Source organism: Homo sapiens, chromosome 11 (genome assembly GCF_000001405.40).
Source record: "Homo sapiens chromosome 11, GRCh38.p14 Primary Assembly".
Taxonomy (NCBI): domain Eukaryota; kingdom Metazoa; phylum Chordata; class Mammalia; order Primates; family Hominidae; genus Homo; species Homo sapiens.
This window is the reverse complement of record NC_000011.10, coordinates 110379318-110393255: the sequence shown is the minus strand read 5'-3', so window position 1 is coordinate 110393255 and position 13938 is coordinate 110379318. Positions and strand designations below refer to the sequence as shown.

The 13938-nt window shown below is 40.0% G+C and overlaps 1 long non-coding RNA gene across 1 annotated transcript in view; it reads right to left on the bottom strand.

Moving 5' to 3' along the window:
* The window catches only part of LINC02732 (long intergenic non-protein coding RNA 2732), a 51795-nt gene that overhangs the window by 13653 nt on the left and 24204 nt on the right, over window positions 1-13938 (bottom strand). The window contains exon 3 of the long non-coding RNA NR_135100.2: window positions 11235-11330. This is a non-coding gene — a long non-coding RNA (long intergenic non-protein coding RNA 2732). The remainder of the gene's footprint in view (window positions 1-11234; window positions 11331-13938) is intronic.

The window sequence follows — 13938 nt, the reverse complement described above, 5'->3', positions numbered from 1 at the left end:
GATAAACATCACATGTTCTCACTTATTTGTGGGATCTAAAAATCAAAACAATCAAACCCATGGAGATAGTAGAAAGATGCTTACCAGAGGCTGAAAATGGTACTGGGGAGCAGAGGGGAGGTGGGGATGGTTAAAGGGTACAAAAAAAAGTTAGAAAGAATGAATATGGGCTAGGATTTGATCACAAAACAGGGTGACTATAGTCAATAATGACTCAATTCTACATTTTTAAATAACTAAAAGAGTGTCATTGGATTGTTTGTAACATAAAGAATAATTGTTTGAGGAAATGGATACCCCATTCACCATGTGATTATTTCACATTGCATGCCTGTATGAAAACATCTCATGTACCCTGCAAATATACACACCTACTATGTACCCACAAACATTAAAAATTAATTATTTTTTAAAAAGAACTAGTCTAGTCTTTCAAGAGTGAGAAAGAACTCACTACTGCAAGAATGGAGCTGCCTATAAAGATGGAGCTCCCATGACACAAATACCTCCCATGAGGTCCCACCTCTTAAAAGTTCCACCTCTTAGGCTGGGCATAGTGGCTCATGCCTATAATCCTGGCACTTTGGGAGGCCAAGGCAGACAGATCACCTGAGGTTGGAAGTTCGAGAGCAGCCTGACCAACATGGTGAAACACCATCTCTACTAAAAATACACAAACTAGCCAGGTAGGGTGGCACACACCTGTAATTCCAGCTACCCAGGAGGCTGAGGCACAAGAATCGCTTGAAACTGGGAGGAGGAGGATGCAGTGAGCTGAGATCACACCACTGTACTCCAGCCTGGGCGACAGAGTGAGACTCTGTCAAAAAAAAAAAAAAAAAAAAAAGTTCCACCTCCCAACATCCTTACATTGCAATTAAATTTCAACATTAGTTTTGGCAGAGACAAACCACATGGAAACCATAGCAGTAGTATAGTGTAATAATTAAGGCCCTGGGTTTTAGAGTCATGCTTTGAATCCCTGCTTCATCACGTACTTGCTGCATGTCATGGGGAGAATTACCTAACCTCTCAAGCTTTAGTTTCCTCATCTGTAGACTGGGGTTATAACGGTATTACAGTACCCACCTCACATGGTTGATGTGAAGGCTAAATGAGGTAATGCACATAAAAAACTTAGCCTGAGACCTGCATTATGTGCTTTCTGAAGGCTATTATTGTTATTGTTTTTATCTCACAGATGAAAAACTGAGGTTCAGGGGAATGGTTAAGTACCTTGCCCAAGGACAAACAGTTTGCCAATAGTGACTAAAGAACTCAATCTAATTTTTTTCACTTTAAAATCTCATGCTCTTTCCATGTCTATATAATTTATAGGTTTAATGTACCTTGTTTTCTTCTAACTCATTTTAGTAGTTTTCTACTTTGACTTGCAACTCAGTCAACATGAGCTTTGTTACAGAAAAGTAAAGATGATAGCCTGATGTGTTTGGGTGAAGTAAAAGAATAAAAAACTCTCATGTATGCAATCAGATTTATTTTTTGCTGTCATCACATAATCTAACAGATTATCATAAATATTAATTATCTTGTGCATTCTGACACTGTATTCTTTGACATCTAGTTAATTGCTGGTTAGAAAAGGTTTTCCTCATATAAAAAAATTTCATTCTGATATAAATTAAATGAATATATACCATTATAAATTTTGCAAACACAATTACATATAAATAATTTATATAACATTAATATTTAATTTATATTACATTTTTTTCTTTTCTTTTCTTTTGTGAGAGTAGTGTTGCTCTGTCGCCCAGGCTGGAGTGCACTGGCACCATCTCAGCCTCTAAAGTAGCTGGGACTACAGGCATGCACCCCCACCCCCAGCTAATTTTTGTATTTTTAGTAGAGACAGGGTTTCACCACGTTGGCCAGGCCAGTCTTGAACTCCTGACATCAAGGGATCCCACCTCAACCTCCCGAAGTGCTGGGATTACAGGTGTGAGCCACCACGCCTGGCCTGTATTTCTGGATTTGATCTGCCAGTATTTGACAGGGGATTTCTGTATCTGTGGTAAGAAGGGATTTTATTTACATCGTTTTCTCTTTTAATTTCTCTCTCAGGTTTGGTATCAGGCTTATACTAACCTCATAAAATGTTTTGGGAAGTGTTCACCCCTCTACTTTCTCAAAGAGTTAGTATAATATTAGTATTACGGATCTTTAAATGTTCAATAGACTTAACTAGCAAAATCACACGGTCCCGGAGTTTTCTTCATGGGAAAATTATTTGTAATAAAGTCAATGATGTGTGTATGTGTGTATTTTTCAGGGAACTGGTCAAACTTATCAAACCTTTTAAGCATTTGTAGGATTCTATAGTGATATCCTCTCTTTTATTCTTCATGTTGGTAATATGGCCCACAAATATAGAAATAGAATGTATAGAACTTAGTTTCTAATAGCATTTCCCAATTAAAAAAAAAAGGAGGGATCCTTGGAGAAATGGTTAATTCTACGACTAGAGCAGAAAATATACAAAATCAGCCTGGAGCATTTTGTAGCACCAGAATGTAAAGAACTGCTCAGAAACAGACATATGCAACAATTGGGGCATGTCAAAGGGACACAGGAACCAACTGGGACAGCTCCCAGTGGCCAAAGAAAACAATTTCAGCAACAAAAATTAAAATGGATTATAACCCAAAGTATAAAATAAGTATCCAATACTGATATAAATAAATGACTGAATAAATAAACAGTGAGAAATAGACAACTCTTTCCTGCAGAAAAATTCCAAATCATTTTATGTAGATACTCTGCCCTCAAAAAGTGAAGATTAAGTCCCCATTCTAAGTGAAAGTTGTGCATAAGAGTACAGAATGGAAAGGGGGAGAAAAGATTACTTTACACTGGAAAGACCTGACAAACACTACGTCATCCAACTGATCAAAGTCAACATCAACACAATAAGTCATGTTGACGGTGTGTAGCATTGATATGATGTTATGAGACTGTCACATCACCCCTGTGGTCTTCCTCCCAAAACCCGTAACCCAAGACTAACCATGAGAAAAACATCAAAGAAACCCCAGTTGAGCAACATTCTACAAAATACTTGACCAGGACTCTTCGAAATTGCCAAGGTCATCAAAACCAAGAAATTTCTGAGAAACTGTCACAGCCAAAAGGAACCTGAAGAGACATGATGACTAAATGTAATGTGGTATCCAGGATGAAATCCTGGGACAGCAAAAAGACATTAGGCCCTAAGGAAATGTAACTAGGGAAATCTGAATAAGGTATGAACTTTGGTTAACAACAAAAAAGAAATTTAAGAAAAGTGAAGGAAGGAAGAAAGGGAGGTTGAAAGGGAGTGAGAAAGCTGAACCAGGAAATAGAACCCACTTTTGCAATGGTCAGTTGACCTTCAACACAGCATCCAAAGTAATTTAATGAAGAAAGGACAGTGTCTTCTGCAAGTGGGGATGGAATAAAGGGATACCATTTTCAAAGGAAAAAATTAACCTTGATCCTTTCTTCAAATGATACATAATATTGACTCAAATGGATCACATATCTGAACAAAAAAGCTGAACAATAAACCGTTTATAACAAAGCACAGAAAAACATTTTCATGACTGTGAAGTAGACAAAGATTTTCTAGAAAGAACACAAAAACATAAATCATAAAAGAAAAAAATTGCCTCAAAAAAAAGAAAAAAGAAAAGAAAAGAAAAAAATCGGCTGGGGCTAGGTGCTGTGTGGCTCACGCTTGTAATTCCAGCACTGTGGGAGGCTGAGGCAGGTGGATCACCTGAGGTCAGGAGTTCAAGACCAGCCTGACCAACATGATGAAACCCGGTCTCTACTAAAATACAAAAATTAGCCAAGTGTGGTGATGTGCACCTCGGGAGGTTCCCATCTACTCAGGAGGCTGAGGCATGAGAATCACTTGAACCCAAGAGGTGGAGGTTGCAGTGAGCCAAGTTCATAACACTGCACCCCAGCCTGGGTGACAAAAGCAAAACTCTGTCTCAAACAAAAAAAAAAATTGGCTGGGCTTAGTGGTTCATGCCTGTAATCCCAGAACTTTGGGAGGCCGAGGCAGGCAGATAGATCACTTGAGGTCAGGAGTTTGAGACCAGCCTGGCTAATATGACGAAATCCCAACTCTACTAAAAATACAAAAATTAGCTGGGCATGGTGGCACACACCTGTAATCCCAGGTACTCGAGAGGCTGAGGCAGGAGAATCGCTTGAACCCTGGAGGCGGAGGTTGCAGTGAGCCGAGATCATGTCACTGCACTTCAACCTGGGTGACAGAGTGAGAATCTGTCTCAAAAACATAAAAGAAAAGAAAAAAATTGGTACCTGAAATAGGGGGGCAGTTCAAAGATGGCTGAATAGGAACAGCTCCAGTCTATAGCTCCCAGCATGAGCGACGCAGAAGGCGGGTGATTTCTGCACTTCCAACTGAGGTACCAGGTTCATCTCACTGGGGATTGTTGGACAGTGGGTGCAGGACAGTGGGTGCAGTGCACTGACCATGAGCCGAAGCAGGGCGAGGCATCGCCTCACCTGGGAAGTGCAAGGGGTGAGGGAATTCTCTTTCATAGCCAAGGGAAGGGGTGACAAATGGCACCTGGAAAATTGGGTCACTCCCACCCTAATACTGCACTTTTCCAATGGTCTTAGCAAACAGCACACCAGGATATTATATCCTGCGCATGGCTCGGAGGGTCCTACGCCCACAGAGCCTCGCTCATTGCCAGCACACCAGTCTGAGATCAAACTGCAACACCACAGCGAGACTGGGGGAGGGGAGCTCACCATTGCTGAGGCTTGAGTAGGTAAACAAAGCGGCCAGGAAGCTCGAACTGGGTGGAGCCCACCGCAGCTCAAGGAGGCCTGCCTGCCTCTGTAGACTCCACCTATGGGGGCAGGGCATAGCAGAACAAAAGGCAGTAGAAACCTCTGCAGACTTAAAAGTCCCTGTCGGACAGCTTGGAAGAGAGTAGTGGTTCTCCCAGCACAGAGCCTGAGATCTGAGAATGGACAGACTGCCTCCTCAAGTTGGTCCCTGACCCCTGAGTAGCCTAACTGGGAGGCACCTCCCAGTAGGGGCAGACTGACACCTCACATGGCTGGGTACCCCTCTGAGACGAAACTTCCAGAGGAACAATCAGGCAGCAACATTTGCCGTTCACCAATATTCTCTGTTCTGCAGCCTCCGTGGCTGATACCCAGGCAAACAGGGTCTGGAGTGGACCTCCAGCAAACTCCAACAGACCTGCAGCTGAGGGTCCTCACTGTTAGAAGGAAAACTAACAAACAGAAAGGACATCCACACCAAAATCCCATCTGTACGTCACCATCATCAAAGACCAAAGGTAGATAAAACCACAAAGATGAGGAAAAAATAGAGCAGAAAAACTGAAAATTCTAAAAATCAGAGCGCCTATCCTCCTTCAAAGGAACGCAACTCCTCACCAGCAATGGAACAAAGCTGGATGGAGAATGACTTTGATGAGTTGAGAGAAGAAGGCTTCAGACGATCAAACTTCTCTGAGCAAAAGGAGGAAGTTTGAACCCAACACAAAGAAGTTAAAAACCTTGAAAAAAGATTAGATGAATGGCTAACTAGAATAACCAATGCAGAGAAGTCCCTAAAGGACCTGATGGAGCTGAAAACCATGGCATGAGAACTATGTGATGAATGCACAAGCTTCAGTGGCCGATTCAATCAATTGGAAGAAGGGTATCAGTGATAGAAGATCAAATGAATGAAATAAAGTGAGAAGAGAAGTTTTGAGAAAAAAGAGTAATAAGAAATGAACAAAGCCTCCAAGAAATATGGGACTATGTGAAATGACCAAATCTACCACTGATTGGTGTACCTGAAAGTGACGGGGAGAATGGAATCAAGTTGGAAAACACTCTGCAGGATATTATCCAGAACTTCCCCAACCTAGCAAGGCAGGCCAACATTCAAATTCAGGAAATACAGAGAACACCACAGAGATACTCCTCGAGAAGAGCAACTCCAAGACACATCATTGTCAGATTCACCAAAGTTGAAATGAAGGAAAAAATGTTAAGGGCAGCCAGAGAGAAAGGTTGGGTTACCCACAAAGGGAAGCCCATCAGACTAAAGTGGATCTCTTGGAAGAAACTCTACAAGCCAGAAGAGAGTGGGGGCCAATATTCAACATTCTTAAAGAAAAGAATTTTCAACCCAGAATTTCATATCCAGCCAAACTAAGCTTCATAAGTGAAGGAGAAATAAAATCCTTTACAGACAAGCAAATGTTGACAGATTTTGTCACCACCAGGCATGCCCTAAAAGAGCTCCTGAAGGAAGCACTAAACATGGAAAGGAACAACTGGTACCAGCTACTGCAAAAACATGCCAAATTGCAAAGACCATCAAGGCTAGGAAGAAACTGCATCAACTAACGAGCAAAATAACCAGCTAACATCATAATGACAGGATCAAATTCACACATAACAATATTAACTTTAAATGTAAATGGGCTAAATGCTCCAATTAAAAGACACAGACTGGCAAATTGGATAAAGAATCAAGACCCACCAGTGTGCTGTATTCAGGACACACATAGGCTCAAAATAAAGGGATAGAAGAAGATCTAACAAGCAAATGGAAAACAAAAAAAGGCAGGGGATGCAATCCTAGTCTCTGATAAAACAGACTTTAAACCAACAAAAATCAAAAGAGACAAAGAAGGCCATTACATAATGGTAAAGGGATCAATTCAACAAGAAGAGCTAACTATCTTAAATATATATGCACCCAATACAGGAGCACCCAGATTCACAAAACAAGTCTTTAGAGACCTACAAAGAGACTTAGACTCCCACACAATAATAATGAGAGACTTTAACACCCCACTGTCAACATTAGACAGATCAACGACACAGAAAGTTAACAAGGATATCCAGGAATTGAACTCAGCTCTGCACCAAGCAGACCTAATAGACATCTACCGAACTCTCCACCCCAAATCAACAGAATATACATTCTTCTCAGCACCACACCACACTTATTCCAAAATTGACCACACAGTTGGAAGTAAAGCACTCCTCAGCAAATGTGAAAGAACAGAAATTATAACAAACTGTCTCCCAGACCACATTGCAATCAAACTAGAACTTAGGATTAAGAAACTCATTCAAAACTGCTCAACTACATGGAAACTGAACAACCTGCTCCTGAATGACTATTGGGTACATAAAGAAATGAAGGCAGAAATAAAAGATGTTCTTTGAAACCAACCAGAACAAAGACACAACATAACAGAATCTCTGGGACACATTCAGAGCAGTGTGTAGAGGGAAATTTATAGCACTAAATGCCCACAAGAGAAAGCAGAAAAGATCTAAAATTGACACCTTAACATCACAATTAAAAGAACTAGAGAAGCAAGAGCAAACATTTTCAAAAGCTAGCAGAAGGCAAGAAATAACTAAGATCAGAGCAGAACTGAAGGAAATAGAGACACAAAAAACGCTTCAAAAAATCAATGAATCCAGGAGCTGGTTTTCTGAAGAGATCAACAAAATTGAGAGACCGCTAGCAAGACTAACAAAGAAGAAAAGAGAGAAGAATCAAACAGACACCATAAAAAAAGATAAGGGGGATATCACCACTGATCCCACAGAAATACAAACTACCATCAGAGAATGCTATAAACACCTCTATGCAAATAAACTAGAAAATCTAGAAGAAATGGATAAATTCCTGGACACATACACTCTCCCAAGACTAAACCAGGAAGAAGTTGAATCTCTGAATAGACCAATAACAGCCTCTGAAACTGAGGCAATAATTAATAGCTTACCAACCAAAAAAAGTCCAGGACCAGATGGATTTACAGCTGAATTCTACCAGAGGTACAAGGAGGAGCTGGTACAATTCCTTCTGAAACTATTCCAATCAATAGAAAAAGAGGGAATCCTCCCTAACTCATTTTATGAGGCCAGCATCATCCTAATACCAAAGCCTGGCAGAGACACAACAAAAAAAGAGAATTTTAGACCAATATCCCTGATGAACATCGATGTAAAAATCCTCAATAAAATACTGGCAAACCGAATCCAGCAGCACATCAAAAAGCTTATCCACCATGATCAAGTGGGCTTCATCCCTGGGATGCAAGGCTGGTTCAACATATGCAAATCAATAAAGGTAATCCAGCATATAAACAGAACCAATGACAAAAACCACATGATTATCTCAATAGATGCAGAACAGGCCTTTGACAAAATTCAACAGTCCTTCATGCTAAAAACTCTCAATAAATTAGGTATTGATGGGACGTATCTCAAAATAATAAGAGCTATCTATGACAAACCCACAGCCAATATCATACTGAATGGGCAAAAACTGGAAGCATTCCCTTTGAAAACTGGCACAAGACAGGGGTGCCGTCTCTCACCACTCCTATTCAACATAGTGTTGGAAGTTCTGGCCAGGGCAATCAGGCAGGAGAAAGAAATAAAGGCTATTCAATTAGGAAAAGAGAAAGTCAAATTGTCCCTGTTTGCAGATGACATGATTGTATATCTAGAAAACCCCATCGTCTCAGCCCAAAATCTCCTTAAGCTGATAAGCAACTTCAGCAAAGTCTCAAGATACAAAATCAATGTGCAAAAATCACAAGCATTCTTATACACCAATAACAGACAAACAGAGAGCCAAATCATGAGTGAACTCCCATTCACAATTGCTTCAAAGAGAATAAAATACCTAGGAATCCAGCTTACAGTGGATGTGAAGGACCTCTTCAAGGAGAACTACAAACGACTGCTCAATGAAATAAAAAAGTATACAAATAAATGGAAGAACATTCCATGCTCATGGATAGGAAGAATCAATATCGTGAAAATGGCCATACTGCCCAAGGTAATTTATAGATTCAATGCCACCCCCATCAAGCTACCAATGACTTTCTTCACAGAATTGGAAAAAACTACTTTAAAGTTCATATGCAACCAAAAAAGAGCCCGCATTGCCAAGTCAATCCTAAGCCAAAAGAACAAAGCTGGAGGCATCATGCTATCTGACTTCGAACTATACTACAAGGCAACAGTAGCCAAAACAACAAGGTACTGGTACGAAAACAGAGATATAGACCAATGGAATAGAACAGAGCACTCAGAAATAATACCACACATCTACAGCTATCTGATCTTTGACAAACCTGACAAAAACAAGAAATGGGGAAAGGATTCCCTATTTAACAAATGGTGCTGGGAAAACTGGCTAGCCACATGCAGAAAGCTGAAACTGGATCCCTTCCTCACACCTTATACAAAAATTAATTCAAGATGGATTAAAGACTTACATGTTAGACCTAAAACTATAAAAACCCTAGAAGAAAACCTAGGCAATACCATTCAGGACATAGGCATAGGCAAGGACTTCATGTCTAAAACACCAAAAGCAATGGCAACAAAAGCCAAAATTGACAAATGGGATCTAATTAAACAAAAGAGCTTCTGCACAGCAAAAGAAACTACCATCAGAGTGAACAGGCAACCTACAGAATGGGAGAACATTTTTGCAACCTACTCATCTGACCAAGGGCTAATATCCAGAATCTACAATGAACTCAAACAAATTTACAAGAAAAAAACAAACAACCCCATCAACAAGTGGGCGAAGGATATGAACAAACACTTCTCAAAAGAAGACATCTATGCAGCCAACAGACACATGAAAAAATGCTCATCATCACTGGCCATCAGAGAAATGCAAATCAAAACCACAATCAGATACCATCTCACACCAGTTAGAATGGCGATCATTAAAAAGTCAGGAAACAACAGGTGCTGGAGAGGATGTGGAGAAATAGGAACACTTTTATACTGTTGGTGGGACTGTAAACTGGTTCAACCATTGTGGAAGACAGTGTGGTGATTCCTCAGGGATCTAGAACTAGAAATACCATTTGACCCAGCCATCCCATTACTGGGTATATACCCAAAGGATTATAAATCATGCTGCTATAAAGACACATGCACACGTATGTTTATTGCAGCACTATTCACAATAGTAAAGACCTGGAACCAACCCAAATGTCCAACAGTGATAGACTGGATTAAGAAAATGTGGCACATATACACCATGGAATACTATGCAGCCTTAAAAAAGGATGAGTTCATGTCCTTTGTAGGGACACGGAGGAAGCTGGAAACCATCATTCTCAGCAAACTATTGCAAGGACAAAAAAACCAAACATCGCATGTTCTCACTCATAGGTGGGAATTGAACAGTGAGAACACTTGGACACAGGAAGGGGGACATCACTCACCAGGGCCTGTTGTGGGGTTTGGGGAGGGGGGAGGGATAGCATTAGGAGATATACCTAATGTAAATGACCAGTTAATGGGTGCCGCACACCAACATGGCACATGAATCCATATGTGACAGAACTTAAAGTATAATAAAAAGTAAATAAATAAAAAGTAAAAAAAAAGAAAAAAATTGATAAGTTGGACTTTTTTCTAATTAAAACTGCTGCTCTTTGAAAGACATTGATAAGAAAATAAAAAAAGACAAGCCATAGACTGGGAGAAAATATTCACCACACATATATCTAACAAAGGACTTGTATCCAGAATATAAAGAACTCTTACAATTTGATAACAAGAAAAACAACCCAACTTAAAATGGGCAAAAACCTTCTGAACAAATACCTTGCAAAAGAATTAATAGGATTTGCGAGTAAGCACTTGAAAAGATACTCACCATTATAACTAACTCATCAAGGAATTCAAACCACAAAAATATATACTACTATACATTCATTTGAATGGCTAAAATGTAAAAGACTGACAATATGAAGTGTTGGAAATGATGTGAGGCAACTGTTAAGAATGTGAAATGGTACACTCACTTGAGAAGGTATTCCAGCAGTCTCCTATAAAGTTAAATATACAGTTAATATATATTACGTGACCCAGAATGACACAGTCAAGAGAAATGAAATGCTATCCTTAAAAAGATTTGCACACGATTGTTGTCATGGCTTTACTAGTAATAGTCCAAACTAGAAACAACCCAACTGTCTCATCAACAGGTGAATATATAACCAAATTATGCACGTCTGTAAAATAGAATACAAGTCAGCAAGAGAAAGGAATAAGCTGCTAATAAAAACAACAGGAACAAATTTCAAAAACATTATGCTAAGCAAAAGAAACCAGACAGAAAAGATTGCATATAGGCCGAGCGTGATGGTTCATACCTATAATCTCAGCACTTTGGGAGGCCAAAGTCAGAAGATCCCTTTAGGCCTGGAGTTTGAGACCAGCCTGGGCAATGTGGCAAGACATCATCTCTACTAAAAATAAAAACTTAAAATTAATTAAAATAAAAAGATTACATACTGTATGATTCAATCATATTAATCCTAGAACTAGCAGAAAACTAAAGCTGATCAGTGATTGCCTGTGGGTAAGGGTGCAAGAGTACAGACATGATGGAAATATTCTATATATTGACTGTGGCAGTGGCTACTAAAGGTGTATGCGTACTTTTGTCAAAACTCATAGAAAGGTGCAATTAAAATATGAACATTTTACTGTACGTAAATTATGCCTCAATGAAGTTGATTTTCTTGATGTCACCTTGTTCTCCAGCTACTGTTTCATTTTTCTGTCCCTCTTTACAGAAAAATTCCTCAAGAGTTACAGATACTTGGCTGGGTTGGGAGGCTGAAGTGGGCAGATCACAGCTCAGGAGTTCAACACCAGCCTGGGCAATATGGTGAAACCCCATTTCTACAAAAAAATACAAAGTGGCTCATGACTGTAGACCCAGCTACTCTGGAGGCTGAAGTGGGAGGATCCCTTCAGCCCAGGAAGTGGAGGTTGCAGTGAGTCAAGATCACACCACTGCACTCCAGCATGGGTGACAGAGCAAGAGCCTGTCTCGAAACAAAAAAACAAACAAGAGTTACAGATAGTCCATCTTCTCTGTCACTCCTCTCATTATCTCTTTATACTCTTTATACACAATTTGGTTATGTATTCACCTGTTGATGGGATAGTTGAGTTGTTTCCAGTTTGGATTATTATTTTTAAGAGACGACCAATGTATACACTATCTTCCATTTCTATCCTCCCATCCTTTCCTTAAACCATCAAATTTAAACTTTCACTTCATCACTTCACTGAAATTGCTCTAATCTATGTCATCAATGATTTCCACATAGCTAAATGTCATGGTCTATTTTCTGTCCTTGTCTTACTTGATCCCACCCGCATCATTTGTCATGTGGCAAATGCTTCCTTCCGTTGTCTTGGAGGACAGCATTCTTGGTTCTGCCCCTATCTTGGGGTCTTTTCTCAGTCTCTTTTGCTGGTTTATCCTCATGTTCCCAATTCTAACTGTTGCAGTGCCTCAGGGATCAATCCTCAAACTTTTATTTTCCCCTGTTTCTGTTTGGAAATCTAATGTAGGTTCCTGGCTTTAAAATATATCTAAATATCATCTGTTGCTGAAGCATGTGTTTATACCTCCAGCTCAGGCCTCTATCCTGAATTCCAAATCTGATTTTCCAACTACCTACTCAACATCTTTACTTGGATGTCTAACAGGACTCTCAGATTAACACATGCAAAACGGATATATTGATTTCTGCATTACTTCCCTTGAAAAAAAAAAAAACTCTCTCCTCTCATTGTCTTCTCCATCTCAACTAATCATAACTCTACCCTGTAGTTTTCTTAAGCCAAAAACCTTGCAGTCATGCTTACAGCCTCTCTTCATCTCTCATCTCACATCCAATCAATCCATAAGCAAATTCTGTCAGTTTAATCCTGAGGATCTATTAAAGTCAGATCGCTTCTTATCTTCCATCTTCTACCACTCTGGTCCAAGCCCCCATACTTTCTTGCCTGGATTGTTCCAGTAGCCATAGGTTTTCTCTCTGTGCCTCTGCATTTGCTCTTCTTGTTGTCCATTCTCAATATAATAGCCAGAACAATCTTACTATAAATGTCACTCCTCTGCTCAAAGTACTCAAATGGCTTCGTATCTTATTCAGTGCAGAGGTAAAATCTTTACAGTGGCTTACAAGGCCCCACATGATCTGCTGCTTCCTGCCTATCTGATCTTATTTCCTATCCTTCAATTCCTTTCCAGCCACACACGCCTTTACCTCAGGGCTTTTTCATTTACTCCTCCCTTTGCCTACAGTGTTTTTCCCCCAGACAGCCACATGCCCCATTCTCTCATTTTCTTTGGGTGTCTTTCAAATGTCACTTTATTAGTGAAGCTTTTGCAAACCATATAATTTTTTTGCCCACCCCCTACTCTCCATCTCCTTTTCCCTGCTTTACTATTCTCTATACTATAGAGTCTTGCACCAATCGACCATCTCGCATTCTATGTGTTTACTTATTTATTGTCTGTCCTCATTTCAACACTTCCTCCTACCTTCCAGAATATACTCTTCAGGAGGGCAGCAACTTTAATACACTCCTGATGCCTAAACCAGTGTTTTGCTCATAGGAGGCATTCAATAAATATTCACTGAAAAAAATAATGAACTGAAGAAACTCATCCTCAAATGTGAGAAACAAACTCACCCATTCAAATCAAAGAATGGACTCAAAGACCTGGAGAACAGGGAAAGTGAGACTTCTAAGGACAGTCTAGCAAGACTGAGTGTTTGATAGGCAGGCACACCCAGCACGGTTTCAACAAGCAATTTATGCCCTCATGCACAGGTCCCTCCCCCAGTTCCTCATAGGCTGAGTACTATGGGGTCACAATCTTCCCAGACGTCACCGAATGGTGGTTGGGTAGGGGCTTTGGGTGTCTTCTTCAGGGTTGTCCTGCTGCATTTTGTTGTAGGCCACAATACATTGCAATCCTACTTAACTTAAGGACTCTTCAAGAATTTGACTTATGACCTAAATAGCTGGGCAGGCTGATAAGAACAG